The sequence below is a fragment of the Homo sapiens genome, chromosome 12 (assembly GCF_000001405.40).
Source record: "Homo sapiens chromosome 12, GRCh38.p14 Primary Assembly".
NCBI classification, from domain to species: Eukaryota; Metazoa; Chordata; class Mammalia; order Primates; family Hominidae; genus Homo; species Homo sapiens.
The window spans coordinates 39,358,381-39,379,381 of NC_000012.12; the positions used below are offsets into that span (position 1 = coordinate 39,358,381).

Below are 21,001 nucleotides of genomic sequence, written 5' to 3' on the forward strand. Positions count from 1 at the left end.
TTACAAATAATAGTTAGGCTTACACATAAAAGCACCTAAAATGCTAAAATAATCATTTTTAAATTCCTAACATTTGAATAGTATCTTCTCTTCAAGATACCAAAATATTGAGCAAATTTAAAAGCCCCTGTACTTGAAGACTATCTTAAGAAAAAGCTTTTGTTTACTTTGGGGAAATAAATTGATATTATTCACCTTTGACCTTGAGAAAGTATAAGCACATACATTTATTTCTTACCTCTTTGCTAAAAAGATTTGAAGCAGTGCACACAGTAATTCTAAAATTAAACTGACTACAATACATTACACTGAAAATCTAAAACCACTTCTTTCATTATTTATTCTTTCAGTATTTTAAAAATTTATTCTTAATCACCAGTATCCTGACTTTTGATGCCAGCAAAGAATTGTACACAAAATCCAATCACATTGAAACAAGAAGAGTACTTAGTATATTCTTGTGTTTCGTTATATAAACTGTCATTTGTGACTGAATGATCAGAATTACAGTTTCTGGCCAGATTACATAGGAAAAGTGGGAAACATTACTTTACGGTCATGATAAATTGATTTAGCCACCGAAGATTAGGATAGTGAAATGCTAAGTATGCCCCATTATGTTTGTATGTTATGTTTGTAAATAAAGCAGACATGGAGATTCTAACAGACACTCACAAACTAACTAAAAAATGTGTAGGAACTGCAATTAAGGAGCAGTCTACTTATCCTGGTAGAAAAATCAATGCCTATCAATCATAATCTTAGCCTCCTAGTCTCCTGCTTCCAATCTTTTCTTTCGACAATAATCTCAACACAGTACTCGTAGGTACCCCTTGTCCCATTCCACACCTTTTTCCTACAACTCTTGCTTACCCTTACTGTTACTATTATTCAACAATCAACTAAGGTATCACCTAATCCAAGAACCAAATCCTCCATTTGTCTGTACCCTTTCTGCCTCCTCACACCTTTTGGATATCTCTTTTGCATTCTTTATATTATTATTATATTGAAATTTTATAGACCCCAAAACTCTTAGACTTTAGATTCCTAAAGGACAGGGATTATCAACTTTTATTTATCAGCATACTTCTAAACATATAACACAACATTTGAACCAATATTAGGTCATTAACAATTGTGATGTGTGTCATGTGTACATAATATTTACTGGGGGTCAGAAAGTTAAAATAATTCATGCCATTTTAGTTTTCTCTTTTGATAAAGAAAATAAGGTAATTCAGTAAGCGTGAGGATTATGGATGCTGATTAGAGAATAGAGCAACTTGAAGTGTGGTCCCCAGTCTAGCACCAGTCTGCAGATTATTTTTACTTACATAAAATTGGGGAAAATAAATTTATATTAGCCTTCTTTGACCCACAACACCTTGAGTAAGCACAGGTACATACATCCATTTCTTACTTATTTACAAAAAATGTTTAAAGTAATGCAGAAATTGCAAGTAAGCACTTTAGAAACTTCCACAACACTTGAACTTCCTGTAATCAATGACCTCCTCTCATTGAGTATAGATCAGTTCAAGTGTTTTCAAACTCCGATGGTGAGTCACAAATGGGGCAAGCTCTGTATGGTCATGCACAATATTAACTCACCACAAATTGGAAAGAAGGGAAGGACTCGCCTTTAACAAATATTTTGAGAAGTGCTGGGATCAAGGGCTTAAGAAGAATAGTGAAAGTCAGGAATAAGAGTAACTGGCAAGGATCAATTGTATAGGGAAAACATCATATATTAAACAAAACCCAAAATATATAAATTTCAAGAATGATTCTATTTATGAAAAACTCAAAGAAAATAAAATAAAGCTAAAAAAAAGCTATTTATTTTAAAAGTTCACACAAAAAGCACACAATTCTGCTTTAAAGAGAACTATATCACTTAAATATTTTATTATATTGTATATTATATTTCTTACAAATTAAGTTATACTACACATCTTGAAAATGTATCACAATGTTAGCAGTAGTTACTTCTAGGTATTAGAAATATGATTTTTTTTTTTTTTGAGATGGAGTCTCACTCTGTCACCCAGACTGGAGTGCAGTGGCACAATCTCAGCTCACTGCAACCTCCGCCTCCTGAGTTAAAGCGATTCTCCTGCCTCAGCCTCCCAAGTAGCTGTGACTACAGGTGCCCACCACCATGCCCAGCTAATTTTTGTGTTTCTATTAGTAGAAACGGGGTTTTGCCATGTTGGCCAGGCTGGTCTTCAACTTGTGACCTCAGGTTATCCGCCCACCTAGGCCTCAAAGTACTGGGATTACAGGTTTGAGCCACTGTGCCCAGCTATAAATATAACTGATTTTTATTCATGCTTTATACTTTCCTGTATTTTCCAGAATTTTTGCCATAAACTGGTTATGATATTTATTAAACACTGTAAATGTAAAAAAACCAGCTCGAATTTTTTAAAAGACACTAAATTATGCACATAAACATATGGAGCTTATTTTCAAAAATATCCTTGGTCTAATTTTTCTTTTAAGTTTAATTTGTATAAACTTCAAAAAGTGAAGATATTTTGCTCTCCAAGGCTTACACAAAGTACAGTGCTTTTGCACTAGGAATGCAATCCTAAAATTTTAAGCAAAAATTGAGGCACACGAAGAAAGGAATTAGAAGGGGTCATCTCCTTTGAGGGGTTACCACCCATTAAGGAAATAGGTGAGGAACATGAGACTATTTAGCTGTAGCCTAAAACTCAGCAGAAATTCAAGATCCACAGTGAAAATATCTTAGACCACTTATAAGGTAAGCAAACTTTCAAAAGTATTGAAGTTTTCAAGAGTTAAAATAGTAAGGGGAGGACATATATCATGTCTGCTTTGTTTTATAGTTAAGAAATAAATACAGGAAAAAGCTACAATTTAGAAAACCCGAAAAAATTTACACTTGGCTGAAAAAATGAAAATTTTTATTCTGTTATAATAAGACCCCTCTTGATACTGAAGATCAAACTGAAAATATAGAACACAAGAAATATATGATAGTGGAAGGAAAACTGCATCCATACATAGGATGTGCTGGAAGAGACATGAGTTAAGACAAATGCTAATAGTACATAAAAGGAAGAAACATAAAAATGACAATGTTGTATTCTACAAAACAGAACTTTCTTTCTTTTTTTTTTTTTTTTTGAGACGGAGTCTCGCTCTGTCTCCCAGGATGGAGTGCAGTGGCACGATCTCCGCCTCCTGGGTTCACGCCATTCTCCTGCCTCAGCCTCCCGAGTAGCTGGGACTACAGGCGCCCGCCACCACGCCTGGCTAATTTTTTTGTATTTTTAGTGGAGACAGGGTTTCACCGTGTTAGCCAGGATGGTCTTGATCTCCTGACCTCATGATCTGCCCGCCTTGGCCTCCCAAAGTGCTGGGATCACAGGCATGAGCCACTGCGCCCGGCCAAAACAGAACTTTATTTCTAAACCAAACGGATTATAAACTTAAAAGGATTTAATATTATCCAAAATTATTTGGATAATAGTTGTTGATACAGTTTGGATCTGTGCCCTCACACAAATCTCATGTAAAATTGTAATCCCCAGTGTTGGAGGTGGGGCCTTGGTGGGAGGTGATTAGATGTTGGGGGCAAATTTCCCTCTTGGAACTGTTCTCATGATAGAGTTCTCAGGGGATCTGGTTGCTTAAAAGTGTTTGGCACCTTCCTCTCCTTCCTCCTGCTCCAGCCCTGTAAAGTTCTCACTCCCTCTTTGCCTTTTGTCATGACTGTAAGTTTCCTGTGGCCTCCCTAGAAGCCAAGCAGCTGCCAGAATCATGCTTCCTGTAGAGCCTACAGAACTGTAAGACAATTAAACCTCTTTTCTGTATAAATTACCCAGTCTCAGGTATTTATGGCAGTGCAAGAACGAACTAACACAGTTGTTCAAAAAGAAACCTTGCTAGTTTAAATACTAGATTTGTTGTATAGCATCTAATAATCTTTTCAGTAAATATGATGTTACATTATTGCAAACACTGTAAAATAGATTCACTGTGGTTGTTGGTAACTTGTTGAATTGTGCTATGATTGAATTTAAATCCCAAAAATGTTTCCATTTGTAAAGCCAACATATTTACAGAGGGGAATACATTACCATAAAAAAAAAAGCTGAAAAAACATATCAGAATGATGCAAGGTATGAGAAAGCAAGAATGTCAGTGATATTGGCAAAGTTAATAACCAGCCAACACTCTGTATTTCATTCAGTGGACATTAAGATTTTTCCACGTATAAAAAAAAATTTGAATTTTTAGAAGACTTTGTAAAAAAAAAAGTACCAATAATATTTAAATTACTTTGTAATTACTTAGGAAAGAGTACTTTTTCAACAAAATTTTATTAGCTTTCTATTCTGTGCTAAGTACTTAAAACAGAAGCTACGATAAGAGAGAAAGTCCACATACTATTGACTTCATATACAAGCTAAGTGGCCTTGAATAAATTACTTAACCTCTCTAGATTCATTTCCCTTATCTAGAAAATAGAATAATAATACCTACACCTCAAGGGATGCTAGGATTATGTGAAATAACATACAAAATTATTCACACATTTGAGATCCTTAACAGTATAAGGATTAGTTCCTCATCCTATTAGTTTGCTTTGCAATAAAAGTAGTTCTTATAAATCATCTTACAAGCTTATTTAATAATGAATAATCAAAAGTCTGAGTAGAGGATAATCATCTATGCATACCTATTACCCCCGAGGGAATCCTGTAGTAGTCTTGTTAGCTTGGAATCTCTATAGGGGACATGTGTGGCCCTCTTGCTCTTGTCTCCCAAGGCACTTATTACATTGCCAAGTGCCAACTAAAAGAAAGAGAAAGAAAGACAGCAAAATGATACAAATTTACTAATTATAACAATTTTAAATAAAGAAAGTTTACAGAGAATAATATAGAGACATAATATAATTAAGAATATTTGTGTTTGGTTTTGTTTTACATTTGTAACCAATGTCACTGAAAATTTAGTACATATATATTAGTACTATATATAATACCGTATGTATATATTAGTACTATAGTACTAATAGTACTAATTCTTTGAAACAGAAATAAGATTGACAACTTTAGTTACCCCTAGAATTATCAGAGCATCAGGTTATGTCCCCAGAAAATTGTCCATTCATGTTACGCATTCTTCTCCTCAACTCAATGTAAAAATAAAATGTTTAGTTAGTTTAACAGTTTGATGCAAATTTTCGTTTTGCAATACAGTTCCCACGGGAAAAGAAAACCTTCTTTAATCACAACAAAAAAAATCAGTATTATTTCTCTGAACAAGGTATTCCTATGCAAGTATATCTATCCTTAGACATACAATAAGATGGGCTGGGTGCAGTGGCTCATTCCTATAATCCCAGCACTTTGGGAGGCCAAGGTGGGGGGATCACCTGAGGTGAGGAGTTTGAGACCAACCCGACCAACATGGGGAAACCCCATCTCTACTGAAAATACAAAAATCAGCTAAGCGTGGTGGTGTGTGCCTGTAGTCCCAGCTACTTGGGAGGTTGAGGCAGAAGAATAGCTTGAACCTGGGAGGTGGAGGTTGCAGTGAGCTGGGATTGCACCACTGCATTCCAGCCTGGGCAACAGAGTGAGACCCCGCCTCAAAATAAATAAATAAATACAATAATATATGTGTTAGCATCCAATTATTTAAAAACTAGTCAAATTACAGAACTCTGTAGTCACTCCTGCCACCCTGCTGTTTTTCCTACTGTCACTGAATTATCACCTACAAGATAAACATTATCCAAAATGTTGTTCACACTGGCCATCAGTAATGCAAACATCTATAACCATGACTTTGTTAGGAAAAATAGATCATGCAGGGAGTGGCAACAGGATCACACTTTTTCATCATTCCCCCTTTCCAGAGCAGCTACTGTCATAAGCAATGGTAATACTGAAACTCTACTAGATATGTCTCAACATGCTTCAAGAGCCTAAAGAGGAAAACAAAGCAATGGCTTTTGTCTTTTCCTGACAACATAAATGTAAATACCACCATGATTATATCTCCTAAGAAACTCAAAACAATGCAAGAAGTCCAGAATCCAGGCATGCCATTTTATACAACATTCACCCACATGTCGGACCATCAAGATGAGTATTGGAGTTGGAAGGTCTGGCTCTCTCTAATCAGGCTTGGTTGGTAATTTCCCCATAGACGGATCATAATCATATAGGAGTAAATATTGGGGGGTGATTAATGGGAGGAAAGCAGACACCACACACTCTATAACTGCCTTTGCAAAATTCATATCAGTGAGACAAGTATGACAGTGAGGGAAATCTGACCTAATCCACTCCATCTTGCCTTTAATCTCTAAATTGCCCTTGTTCATTCCTATGCTGAGCTAACTAAAGGAGGAATTTATAGTTTAAAGAATTTTGAAAAGATGATAACAACCTTTTCCTGAAACAAACCTCTTCTTCCCTGGGGACCAGCATGCCTTTGTAAAACTAACAAATTAGCCACAAGATTATTAGAAATTATGATTTAAGAGTCATGCAGCTAGAGACCACGAGATTCCCAGCCTCCCCAATTGCTCCTATGGATAAGATGACTATTGTAAAACCTAAGATTGATGTTTGGATATTTTTTTAGACCCTGCATTCTGATGCACCAGCTGACACCATGCAGACTGGTAATCTGGCTCAAGCAGTTCTGTAATCCCACCCTGGAACAGAAGACAGCAAGAAGAATCCACTTAGACCCCATATGATTTAACCTCCACTCCCCACTCCCTTAGCCCCCTCATTCACCAAATTATACTTTAAAAACTGCAGTCTCTGAATTTTTGGAGAGACTAATTTGAGTAATAAAACTCCAGTCTTCCATTTAGCTGGCTCTGTGTGCATTAAACTTTTTCTCTATTGCAATTCCCCTGTCTTGATAAATCAGCTCTATCTGGGCAGCAGGCAAAAAGAATCCCTTGGGTGGTTACAACTCTGATGCTATTGGTGTCGCAGAAATTTAGGGATGTCATTACATTTGTGCAGGTACAAATATCCAGTTTTGTAATGAAGATAATAAGAACAAATTTAAAACACAAAACTTTGCTCTAAAATATTTCCTTCCATGTAATGAAGCTTTATGCTAACTAAATCACAAGGAGTTTTCCAATCAAAATGCCACTAGGTGGCATGGTATTAAAGTTAATTCTTAATATAATCTAGAAAAATTATCATTTTGAAACAATCATTACTAAAAAAAATTACAATTTCCAAAGTCAATAAAGTGACTGTCATAAAATGTTATCAAAAGGCTACTTTGAAGGTCTTCACCCATGAAATAACTTAATATTAAATTTTGGGCCAAGCGCAGTGGCTCGCGCCTGTAATCCCAGCACTTTGGGAGGTTGAGGTGAGTGAATCGCATGAGCCCAGAAGTTTGAGACTAGCCTGGGCAATGTGGCAAAACCCCATCTCTACAAAAAATACAAAAATTATCTGGGTGTGGTGGCACTCGCCTGTGGTCCCAGCTTCTATGAAGTGGGAAGATCAATTGAGCCCGTGAGGTCAAGGCTGCAGTGAGCCATGATCGCACCACTGTACTCCAGGAGAGTGGGTGACAGAGTGAGACCCTGTTTTAAAAAAATAAAAGATAAAAATAAATAAATAAGTTGATTTTGACAGTATATTGTTAAATGTGGAAAGAATTTTTCAAATAATTTGTATATCTATAATTTTCTGCACATATAAATTTTAGTACGACTAAATTTATACACATGAAGAAAATCTGTAATATATAAAAACAGAAAAAAGCCTACAACATGAGGAGATTGGAGATTCAGTGCATTACTAATAACTGTTCTATAATTTTCATTTCTTGGTTCAGTATCTGAAGGATTTCCATATGGATATTATAAATTACAAAAGACAAAAGGACAATAGAAAAGCTCTGATATATTCTCAGCACAAAGCCTTAATCTTACAAGTCCACAGTTGATAGAAATGCCTTCTTTTGCCCTCTCGCCTGTAGCTCCAGTACGCTTCAGTCTTTCAGATCCTGCGAGATCAACAAAATGGAACTTTGCAGTCAGGGTTTCAAATTCATTCATCTGTGCTGATTCAGAAATAATTTTATTATCAGTTGCATTGTCCTGAAATTAAGAAAAATAATTGAAAATACTTTATTAATGTAACATTAAATATCCTCCTAACCTACCTTGCGCTTATCCCATGTACACATATAGGCACAACCAAAGAAACAGGCATAAAGCCAAATAAATTCAAAAATGTCTGCTGGCAATTAGAAATTTAAAGTCAGAAAAAGCCTGGATGGTCAGAACTCAACTATTATCAACTGAGGCTTTGCTTATGCTAATGAAGGGAAACCTACAGCATATAATCCTCAAAAGCAAAAGGTCTCAGGTGATGACATCCAACAACATATGGCCACAGCATGCTTTTTGGTTTTTCAGACATTTATACAATTTTTTATTTCAAAATCTTACATGGCTGACCAGCTTCAACTTAACTAGGATCAGAAAAGGAAATTAGAAAAAGGAATGACTAAATGAACTGAATTTGGCTCAAATATATTCTCAGAGAATTCATGTGGTTTTAGGGAGATAAAAATTGAAAGTTTAAGAAATTAGAATTAATAACTCACAGCATCTATTTGGGGACACACTCTGGTTTGACACACATGAATGGTAAAAATGGCATGTGAACGAGAGCTCTGAACATTCATCTGGGTACTGGCAGTTGTCCGGGATAAAGCACCCAACTTCAAACACTGCATCATCTGAAAAAGGGGAAGAAACAAGGACTTTACTTGAACAATAAACAAGATACTATACAATCCAAAGTCTGAGGTAATGGCTAAAACCCACCATGTTAAGGGATATAAAAGATGTGGAATTTCACATTATTAGTTCAGTTACAGGCACTTTTTGAGATGGACTTCTCAGTATAATAGTGTATTATTTTTTAAATAGAAGAAAACACTGAGATTCCATTGTTGGCCATTTGCTGACATTTGCAGCTTCCATTCCAAAACTGTTATAGTAGAACACTTTGGTACAAACTGAGCAATAACTTGAATTATTCAGACGCTTCTCTATATTCCGTTAAAATTATTTTTTGTAATTTTTCTCAACAATCTCCCTCTAGGAGCCATGATACAGTTCTACATAGGTTAAAGCAAAAAGTACAAAAGGATTGTGGTCTCATTCTTCACCATCAATTGTCTAACCCTCTTTCTCTAGCTGTGAATGAAAACTGTTCATAAATTGCCTTAGATTCTTTTGATGCTATGACAAATATGCTGACTTTATAATAATCCTGATATTTTTATACTAATATTCTGATTTTTTAAATGTGAGGAAAGAACACAAGATCTTAATTCCATGTCATGCTTCAGGATATAAATTTCATATCTTGATCTTAAGCAGATTATCAGCAAAGCTCACTATTTAAATAAAGCCAACTATGCTCTGTTTTAACTATAATATAAATATTACCTCTGATTCTGTATTCACAGTACGTGTTGTAACGCCCACAGTATAAATTCCTCCAGTTGAATCTTCATGAATTCTTATATTTGATTTTTTACTTTTTGCATCAATATCACGAGTGGTATCAAATAAGTCAAGGACCTCTTCATTATAGAGCTATCAAAAAAATATTAGAAATCTAATTTTAGCAGAAATTGTCTGGGTAGTTGTCATAACAACACATTACATAATGATTCCTTCATACAGATTTTTAAAGTATTTCAAAATGACATATTTTTTCAAAATAACACATTAAAATGAATGAGGCTATTATTATAACAATTATAAGTAAATGCCAGATTTATTTACAAAAGTAAAAACAGTAAGTGACTTAATCATGACTAATGGGTTGAGGACTAGCTAAAATGATCTACTAATCCTTTGCAAGAGATAGTCAAATATTTACAAATACAAGCAAACCCTAGAAACATGTGCCAAATGTGGACAAATCTTAAGCTTCAGAATATTTAAAGAATTTTTACTACTTGAGCTAAAAACATATTTCCTGTTGCCCTGAAACCTTTCTTAACGTGTTGAAAAATTAACACTTAGCATGTTTGCAAGGTCAGTAACAATATTAGTGTTCCTGTATCAATAGTGGCTGAAAAAACCCAGATACCTCCTTAGAAGAGAATATACACACCTATTTTTCTATCAATATGTTTTAAAGTTACAATGCCTGACAACATTTTGGAGGGTGAAAGGGAAGATGGAATAACACTGTTTCTTTTCTTTTTCCACCATCATTTACTTTCCTTAGGAATACATAGTTATATTCTCTTTGGTTTTTACTAAATAAGGATATCCATTAAAACCAGCAGTAAAAAAAAAAAACTGATACTAATTTTTCTATGTTGTGCTACATAAGGCTGAGGAAAATTTTCATCAATGATGAAAATGATTAGCTCATGGATCAGGTAATTTAGACTAAATTCTCTTTGCACCAAGAACCTAGAATTATGCCACTGTCCACCAAAGTGCAATATTGCTCAAATCCTAGATGTCCTCTTAGTGTTATTTTCCTTCTACTATGCTAGACAGCCTAAATTAATCCAAATCCACCACAACCTTTAGACATTATATCAAAACATCTGTCTACCTATGCAAGGATAACAATTTCTTCAGCCAGATAAGTGCTACAACCTCAGACCTATTATTTCTCACATACTTCCCCTACTTTTGGCCTTAGTCATTAAGTTCCCACCACTCTGTAAGCCTGTCTAAATTACAACAGTAATAACCTTTATCTATTGATAAAAATAAGTTCCTGGCTGGGCTCATACCTGTAACCCCAGCACTTTGGGAGGCAGAGGCAAGTGAATAGCTTGAGGCCAGGAGTTCGAGACCAGCCTAGGCAACATGGCGAAACCCCATCTCTACTAAAATTACAAAAAATTAGCCAGGTGTGGTGGTGCATGCCTGTAGTCCCAGGTACTCAGGAGGCTGAGGCACAAGAATCACTTGAACCCAGGAGGCAGGGGCTGCAGTGAGCCGAAATGGTGCCATTACACTCCAACCTGGGTGACAGAATGAGACTCTTATCTCCAAAAAAATGGGGGGGGTTCTTAAATAAACAATATTAATTGTTCTTTTATTCTATGGACATTGGTCAAGTGTTTATAATCTTAAACTCAAACATCACTTCCTACAAGTAAGGAAAAGTTATTTCTACTATCTAATGTTAATTTACTCAAACAACATTTATTGAGTACTATCTTCAAAGCACTATACTTGAAGCCAACAGTATAAAATCATAAACACAGTCTATAAGAACAAAATTTAAAAGAAATTAATGCCAAAATTGGATTATTACCTCTAAGAATTGGGCATTCACTTTAAAATCTGGAGCAGGAAGCCCATTTTTAATTGCTATGTGTTTTTTTTCTTCAATACTCTTAAAAAGGTGTTTAACAGCTCGAGAAATAATACCCAGTTCTTCCTCAACAATGTTAACATCAAATCCTGTTCCCATTGTGTATGTTTTACCAGCTCCAGTCTAAACAAAAGAACAGAGAAAGATTAGTGTTCAACCTTAACATAACCTTAAGAAACAAAAATGAAAGCGCAACTGAATTAACATTTCTGAAAAGTTTCAACTCCTATGAAAATAATATGGCACTTACTTGTCCATAAGCAAAAACTGTAGCATTGTATCCTTCAAAGCAACCTTCAATTAGTTTTTCTATACATTGAATGTAGATCTGCTCTTGCTGGGAGTCAATGTCAAATACATAGTCAAAAGTAAAAGCCTTATCTTTCCCTAGGAAGACCTGAGGCTCTCCTGGTGTGACAGATGTACAAATATGGCATCCTTCAATCTTCTCTTTGGCAAGCTGTGGTCTTATTCTGTGAGAAATAATCAGAAAAGAAAAAAATAAAATAAATGGCAAAAAAAAACCTCTCAAAAAATAGGACTTAAAAACTCTTGGCCAAATCTTTTTTAAAACTCATGTAATTACCTAATGCTTATTCAGTTGAAAAGTTTAAATAAATTGAATTATAATGAATCAATTTCAGTACATGAGATGACTTTCTTAATCCCAATGAGTTACTTAACAATCCCCCAAAATCATGAACAAAGTAAAATCCATCTTAAAATTAGATACTTACCCAAGTGGATACTTTTCCTCTACTCTGTAAGAGGTAGACACTCAGTCCAATAAATTCTGCTACCAAAATGCTATTTGCTATTATTATTGTTTTAGATTTTTTTCTCTTTATTTCCAGTGATGATAGTATGGAAAAATAAAAAAGCAAGGACATTTATTTATCTTAATGTCTTGACGCCCTTGACTCGTCTTTTTTGCTAACTCTTCACCAGTGGTTTCTGAACCTATTTGACCATTATGTTCTATCAGTGTAACATGTTAAGCATATTCCCACAATATATATGTATATATATATTCATTTATAAATAATATTCATGTCCTACTATATTGATTTGTCATATATTGAAATACTGTCATCTCTCAGTATCCATGAAAGATTGGTTTCACATTGGTTTCACAACTCCCCATGGATACCAAAATCCGCAGATGTTCAAGTCCCTGACATAAAATTATGTAGTATTTGCATATAACTTACACACTTATTCTCCTGTATACTTTAAATCATCTCCAGATCACTTATAATACCTAATACAATGTTAATGCTATGTAAATAGTTATTATACTGCATTATTTAGAGAATAATAAGAAAAGGAAGTCTGTACATATCCAGTACAGATGTAACAATCCATTATTTTTCTGAATATTTTCAATCCACAGTCAGTTGAATCTGTGGTTGTGGAACCCCTGAATATGGAGAGTTGACTGTGTATAGAAAAGCAGAATTTTAAAAAGAAATAAATTAAAAATGAATATAAGTGAAAGTTCTAATATCTTCTCTCCAAAACTTAGTGAATTATTATGAGTTGCCTTTCCTCCACTGGAAGACCACCGCACTACACCCACCCCACATCCTCACACATCCACTTGAATCCAACACCATCCTATCTGTCTTCCCTCTCAAATTTCAAAATCTGTTTTCAAAGAAGAAAAGTAAATATGAAGATATGTTCATAACAGAACAAACCAAAATCTAGTCCTATTCTATAGGCTCTATAAACAGGACAGACTATTCTGGAATATAAACCACTCACTTACTGTACCAAAGTTTTTAAAGAGATTCCCTACTTGCCATGGAGAAAGAGAAGCAGTTTAAGGAAGAAAGGCAAGACAACCACAGATGAAAAATATAAAATGAGGCCAGGCACAGTAACACGCCTGTAATCCCAGGACTTAGGGAGGCCAATAGCTTGAGGTCAGGAGTTTCAGACCAGCCTGGCCAACATGGTGAAACCTGGTCTCTGCTAAAAATAGAAAAATTAGCCCAACATGGTGGTGCAGCCTGTAATCCCAGCTACTCAAGAGGCAGAGGCAGGAGAACTGCTTGAACCCAGGAGGTGAAGGTTGCAGTGAGCCAAGACAGCACCACTGCACTCCAGCCTGGGCGACAGAGTAAGTGAGAATCCGTCTCAAAAAAAAAAAAGAAAAGAGAAAAATATAAAATGATCAAGACAGGTCAAGGAACAGATTTTAAAGGAATCTGGTCTCATAGCCTTATTTTGTGAAATTTAAAAAAAAAAAAAACTCAGGTCAATAGAGGTAAAATAGAGGTAAAAACAAGTTCATCTATTTATTAGAGATAAAGCCAAGCCCAAGTCCAGATCCCCTAAGTCTAACTCTTTCCAGTTCATTAAAATAAAAGGTTAACAGGAAGAACAGGAATGACAATAGAGAAAGGATTGAGTTTCTGCAAACCTGGTTTTCTAAAACAGAATTTTGTATGCCTCAAAAATATCTCATGTAAATAATATGTCAAGTAAAGAATATGCAACTATTTTTTCTCCTCTATGATACTGGTATTTTTCTTTAATAAAGTCTTCAGCTTTGTTTGTTTGCTGTAATGGAATGTACTAATCAATGTGGAGCTGTCCAGGTAATGAGGCAAGAGCAATGGAATGGCCAGTAGCAGACCTGAGTTTTACTACTTGTCACTCCATAGGTATCATGTGGTCTTCTCTCAGAGCACCAGCTTCCTCAACTGTGGTGGAAAACTATAATTTCCAAGATTGCTTTTAGATCTAATACTACTTAACTGTAGATACTGTATTATAGAAAAGGGAAAGATGGAAATCATATTGTGTACTGTAATACATATTAAATGATATTATAACAAACAAAGAATTTCTTGTAATTTCTTGTAGCTATGCACACAGACTATAAAAACAGCCCGTGGTAGTAGCAGGTTTGGCTTTCTGGTTCCACATAACCTAGATGAGTGGTGTTTCTCTAAATTAATAATTTTTTGTTTCCAAACTCCTCTTCTCCTACCACATTACTTTTTACCACAGCAAAAACCCCAATCCTCTTTAGGAAAAACCACCATCTTGATTGTTGCCACGCCAGAAATAGGGAGAGTCAGAAACAACCTCAATTCCATGTCAATTCCTCCCTCTTCCCTATTCCACCTATCTAATCTAAGAGCTATTCTCTCTGAAATACTTCAGCCCACCAAGTTATTTCCTCCCCCATCAACACCACCCTAATGAAGGCCATCATTATCTCTTACTTAGAATATTGCAAAGTCTTCTAACCAGTCTTCCTGTGTCAACTCTTGCCCTCACCAACCTGTTCCACACACTGTAATATGAGTAATTTGTAAAACAGGAAGTTGGTCAGCTCACTACCCTGCGTAAAACCCTTCAGTGCATCTCTAAATCCCTCTGCTTTGCCATGCTACATCTTTGCATTAAAGGATTTTCACTAGTAGCCGTGGTGATGGTTTATTTTAGGCAGTTTCACTACCAGCTATGCTCTCTCTTGTTTCTATGCCTCCAACTTACATTATTCCCTTTTCCTAGACACTCTTCTCCACCCTTTCAATTCCCAACTCCTTTACCCGCCTGAATATTTTTCTTTCAATATCACTTGTTTTGGGAGCTCACACAAACTCTGCATTTCAACATAAAGTCCTGTCTGTGCTCAGGCTGTTCTCTCTCCTGAAAGCTACCTCATTAACTCCAAGTCTCTGCTTTTTCTACCAGCTTTATGGCTGCTATACTACTCTGTGAAACTTAACAAATCCCATGTAATAATAAAGATAAAAATAATAAACGCAACACTCTAATGAAAACAAGTACTGGGCTACTACTTAATATCAGTGTGCCATTAATTTTAGGTAAATGATTATAACCATAGGCTAATTTATTTGGCTATTAAGATACTTTAAATTTCATTTCAACATAACAAAGAAAAACTAGGTGCCATTTGAATTGCAGATACGATAGCCAATTTTAGATGCTAATGTCACTCAGAATGTCTTTAACTTATTCTCTTAACCTCTACTCATCTGGTTATGATTCTTGCTAATGGCAAGGAGGATTCTGTTTGAAACATGGATGATGCCCAATTTCATCCATTTGCATGGGTGAAGAAGACAGAGTGGTTTTAAAAGCCAGCAAGATGGGTGAAAACTTTTCCACTGGATCCAAGCAATGGCAATTTTCCAGCAGGTCTGAGAAAGTCACACCTAGGAGGGGATGGTGTCCCACACATGCAGATTAATTGGAAGCTGACTATACTTCAAAGACTAGGGATAGGTTCACCTTTTTAATTCCTCTTGAAAAATTAGTATTTTAAAATCTCCAAATCCCTAAATTAATACTCAAGTCAATAATTCTCACAGGAACACCCAACCCAAGCCAGTTCACCTGCTTTATAATTGATGAGTTTGAAACCTAGCTACAAACCTCAATTTCAAAACTATTACTTGAGGTTCTATATAGATGAAATATACATATCCTTCTGTAAAAGAGAAAGTTAGAAATATAACATTTACAACTTTGGATATTTTGAAATATCTTCTTTCTCAGTATTTTTATGTAAAAAATAAGATCATTAAACACATGCATCTAGTCCCAACACTAAGAAATCATCAGTCTTAACGTTTGGATTAACTAATCTTAATCAAACTGACTAACACTAAGAAATAACAAAGCCAAGTAGATTTTTAAAAATGTATTATTCTACAACTAGATGTATTTAAAACTGCTTCTTAAAGACAAACAATTACGGACAAAAATTGAATTATTATTTCTCCATTAGCAAATGATTCTTTGAAGACAGAGAATATATCTTATTCATTCCTAAAGCAAAGTAATCCAGAAGTGTTTACTGACTTACCCCTATAAACTACACTAGGTAAAAAAAAGAGTATTTTAATGCAAGATATATGATAATTACAATAATATAACATCACTTTACTCTGTCACTGGAAACTCATTCTTGAACAAGCATTTAACCATGCTACATGTCTGTTTTCTAATCTATGAGGAGCCTGGCTTTACTAATTCCAAGTTTAAATTCTATTTTAATTAATCCTTCAAGAAAAACAAACCAAAGTTTCCCTATGCTGGCTTTTAAAAGGTTGAATAAACTACTTTTTTTTCCCCTGCCATGCACTATGCACCAGTACTTCTTATTGTTTGTTCCTTATTTCTTCATTATTCCTATCGTATAACAAATGATACTGTGGACATAGGGCAAGGGACTACTTCATTTATGAAAACATTATCATGGGCTCATTGCTGTGGAAGGAACTAGTGAAGATTAGGGGAGATTCTGAGACTAAATTCAGGAAATGTCTTAAAAGTGGGCCCTGCCTTCTGTTCTTTGCCTTTGTAATAACCGAAACTGGTTTTAGTGATTGAATATATTTAAATGAGCCAAGAAGACATGTTTTGAGATGTCCTAAATAAAACAAAAGTTTTAAAATAAAGTATTTTGGGGGAAAGGCTTATACTTGCTACCTTTTCAACTAGAGTTTTAGTCATGAAACTTAGCAAAACTGAGTTTATACATTAGTTCTGTCACATACTGCTATTAAGAGGCAATTCACCACAACCTTAAGAGTTCCTGCACATTCTTGCTGTGTATGCCAAGAATGCAAGACCCAGACTGCTCTTTTCATGGATCATTTCTCAAGGTTATGTTGGGAACAAGCAAACTTTAAGGATAAGGTAATGTCTTCATGACAGACCTGGCTTGCTTCTGCTTAGTATAAAAGTGGTTAATCCATAAGCTCAATGTTTCTCAATGCCCACCTGCTTGCACAGCAACCATATAATAGGGGTATCAGCACTGCCCCCGATGGATTGAAAGGGAACAGAGCACCAGGTCAAATCAACATGAAGCTCACATTACTTATTGTACCACAAGTAATAAAAGTCCTTAGTCTCCAATCGGGAGTTTTGTGTCTTCTGTCACTATTTATGATACAGTAATGGGTTAGCTTGTTAGCTTGTAAATAGAGTGAAAACTCAGTCCCTTCACAGGCCTTAATACATACTAGCGACCTTTGGCAAGTCACTCTCTCAGCCTTGATTTCCTTATCTATAAAATGTCTATTAAATATTATAATATTATTGCCATAGCCACATGATAGCATCTTGCACAAATGAGATACTATGAGACAATGAGAGCCTACATAGCTATAAAAGTGTTGTTACAACACCACCTGAAAATTCTCTAAGTCATTTCCCTCATGAGGCACCCTAACATCTCAGCTTGGGCCTTCCCATGTGTTAAAGAATGCATGATTTACTCTTTGGCTCCCCAGACTGTTGCTGTATTTTTTAAATTACCGTTTGGATACCTTGAGTCCCCAAGAAAATTAAATATAGAACCCCTACGTCATCAATAGAAGTGTAATACAACAATTAACATTCCTGCATACATGTATGCATATACTTACAGATATACACACATACATTGTTATGCAAAGATAATAAAGCTGGATATCTTTACACCTCCATTCATAAAAAGTCATAATCCCAAAATTAGCCTTTTCATAGTAATAAATAATCAAGTCCCAATCATCCTTCTACTTTTATCAGTATAGGGTACAATAGGAGCCAAAATAAGAATTCTTATAATTTAATATTATTATCATTTTTTATAGACATGTAACCAGTAAGGAAATTTCATTCAGAAAGGAATAGAACTAAGGTCCTGAGTAAAAAGTCTGTTTAAAGCTGGGGATTAAATTGTTATGGTACAATTTGTCCTTATACTGAACTAAACTGAATTAAATGCTAGTGACTACAATATTGACAAATGAGCTACTGAAGGAATGCTGACCCAAGAAAAATAAATAAGTCTATGCTATTATAGTTTACAACTTCCTATAACTTACGTGTGCAAGAACCCATACATTTTTTCAAAATTATAAGACTAGCACCAACATCACTCAATCCAATGATGCAAACGATCAAACTTAAATTTTTAAATGCATGTGGTTTTTGTGGTACTTTTCAGACTCTCTCTTACACTCCTACCCCTTCTATTCCTCTGTTCCCCATTTTATTAAAAACATCACAAGGGATAAGCCTTTCTTTTGCTCATTTATTGGTCAAGTTATTTCTCCCTACAGATAGAAGAGGAATAACATACAACATGTCTTCCTTTTTGCCACTAGCCATTGCTGATTTGTTGTCCTGTTAGAAAGTACTATTGTCCTTAATCAATGGTTTCATACATGTGACAAATTTTTCCATTACCTAAATGTCTTTGTAAACTGTCTCTCCTCTTTTGCTTGAGTTATTCTGATCTCATCCCCACAAGATTGTGGTAGTTCTCCAATTTATTCAATAATCTGACCTGATTCCCGCTTTGTGTAGTTCTTTTACTTACACCTATCTGTAACTAGCCCACTTGGCACTTGGTAACACCTTTCTTCTTCCTAGAGAACACCAATAAATCTATCCTCTGTACAGGTCTTTTGCCTTTCTTTATCTCATTTGTTGGTGTTTTGGATGATCATTATGTTGGATGCTACTTACTGGTGTTCAATTTCATTTCTTGATGTTAATTATTTCTTACTAAATTCCTTCCTTCCATTTCCCCAAAATTAGGACAGCTATCATTTTGTCATCACAACTGAGCCACTGGGGTTTCTGGTCCCTTTTTAAATCCTCCTCTAGTTCATTCCAGTTAGTAGATACCACATTAAGGAAGCATCTGCCCTACTTTAACTCTCCACCTTCTGTTCTAGAAAAGAGTTTCTGACACACCATAAGAACTTGTTAGGCCATTTGTGGACTTGCTGAATTGTCTCCTAAGAGATCGGGCACTGCATAAATAATAAGTAACTCAAGCCCATAAAAAGAAATTCCTCTCCCTAAAATGGATCTTTAATTACAATGATGGGTGATGAGAAGAAAGGTATTTCTTCAAGACATTCAAGAAAGAAACACACCTCAGTAACTCCATTAAAGAGATTATTAATTGAGTGAAAAGCCTAAAGACAATAAAGCACAGTAATGTGTTCCAGGGACTAGGGAGTACATACTTTTATGAATGACAAAGATGAAGAAAAGAACCTGTTTTTAATCCATTAATGATGAACAGCTGTTAAAAGCAATCCAGAAATCTTATCCTAATCTATATAATTAGCTCTGTATTCTACTCTCTCATCTCTATGTGGTCCACTGGACTCATAAACTTTATGAAGTTTATTCTTAATAAACAGATATTCATAAACATATATATTTTCAATTAAAATCCCTAATATACAGCATACATAGCTAATGCTTCTGGCTGCAATTCTAGACTACACTACTCAGTCTCTGGTTTACAACACCCCTTGGAAAAATAAAAATTTATTTCCCTCAAGTACAGTTCTGTAGTGGCTAACCAGAAAAAGAAAGCAGGAAAAATAGCTATTGGGCCATCTTCCTCTGACTTCCACTCTAGCGTCTCCTACTTTTTATCCCACGGTTCATCTAAGGACACAGAACACTGATAAAAGTTCTCTCAATTGAGGAAACCAGTATCATTCACAAGGGGGTAACATTGTGCCACTCTGTTGAATAGCAGATGTCCAAAGAACTACATTGAAATAATGCACATGGGCTGACAAAATAAAGAAAAAAAATAGTCAAATTCTGGATTTTTATAAAAGTCCAATCCTATGCATCACTGTAATTAATTCTTCTGGAAACTCCAGAGCTTTATTTAGCCTTTCTCCCGGAAATAGAAAGCCTCTACTCCCACAAAACTGAGGGAGTGAGGGGAGGGAGTACTTCAAATGACAACAGGAACCATCTGCCTATTTTCCAAAGTGCTCATAAAATTTCTGTTGATGCTGGTGGCTGTATGTGGTGGCCTATTGATAATCCAAGGCCCACAGAAAATTTCATTTGGTCAACAGTGCCCTCTGGAGCACCTACTAAATGTCAGACAGTGTGTAAGGCAAAAAATGTTTTAAATAAAAACAAAAACTTGAGGAGTGTAACCATGGTCAGAGGTAGGGGAACGATAAGTAAATTAAACATATGGTCAATGAAATATTGTATACAAAGGATAAACGGAATAAAGATTAGCCAGAGGGTAATGGGGGAGGAACAGGAAAAACTGCATACAGGAAACTATATTTGACCTGGGTTTTGGAGGGTGATTAAAATTTTCGAGACTGAGAAGGGAGAAAAAGTCAGTTCGGGGAAAATAAGTCAAAACTTCTTGAGGTGCATTTGTTCCCTGGTTATGACACAGTCCTTAGGGGCAGAAGCACTAGCATAAAAGTTGTTAGAATTGGCCGGGTGTGGTGATTCATGCCTGTAATCCCAGCACTTTGGGAGGCTGAGGCAGGCGGATCACAAGGCCATGAGTTCGAGACCACCCTGGCCAATATGGTGAAACCCCATCTCTACTAAAAATACAAAAATTAGCCGGGCATAGTGGTGGGCGCCTGTAGTCCCAGCTACTCAGGACAATCGCTTGAGAATTGCTTGAACATAGGAGGCAGAGGTTGCAGTGAGCCGAGATCGTGCCACTGCACTCCAGCCTGAGAAACAAAGCAAGACTCTGTCTAAAAAAAAAAAAAAAAACCTGTTAGAATTTAGGGAAGTTTTGTGAATGTTATGAC

At 35.5% G+C, this 21,001-nt stretch overlaps 1 protein-coding gene across 33 annotated transcripts in view, besides 1 other annotated feature; it reads right to left on the bottom strand.

The window, feature by feature from the left end:
• KIF21A (kinesin family member 21A) overlaps nt 1–21,001 on the bottom strand; it is a 149,893-nt gene that overhangs the window by 65,153 nt on the left and 63,739 nt on the right. For all 33 annotated transcript variants that reach the window (XM_047429133.1, XM_047429128.1, XM_047429123.1 and 30 more), the window contains exons 2-7: nt 11,659–11,881; nt 11,349–11,531; nt 9,503–9,652; nt 8,650–8,784; nt 7,970–8,137; nt 4,718–4,833 (exon numbers count right to left, since the gene is read on the bottom strand). In XM_047429133.1, the coding sequence (XP_047285089.1) occupies nt 4,718–4,833; nt 7,970–8,137; nt 8,650–8,784; nt 9,503–9,652; nt 11,349–11,531; nt 11,659–11,881 (975 nt within the window). The remainder of the gene's footprint in view (nt 1–4,717; nt 4,834–7,969; nt 8,138–8,649; nt 8,785–9,502; nt 9,653–11,348; nt 11,532–11,658; nt 11,882–21,001) is intronic.
• Nucleotides 11,512–11,631: an enhancer, noted in NCBI's record as "active region_6198". NCBI's record gives its function as "activates an Ori minimal core promoter by ATAC-STARR-seq in GM12878 lymphoblastoid cells {active_cell/tissue: GM12878}" and the evidence as "EXISTENCE:reporter gene assay evidence [ECO:0000049][PMID:35858748]".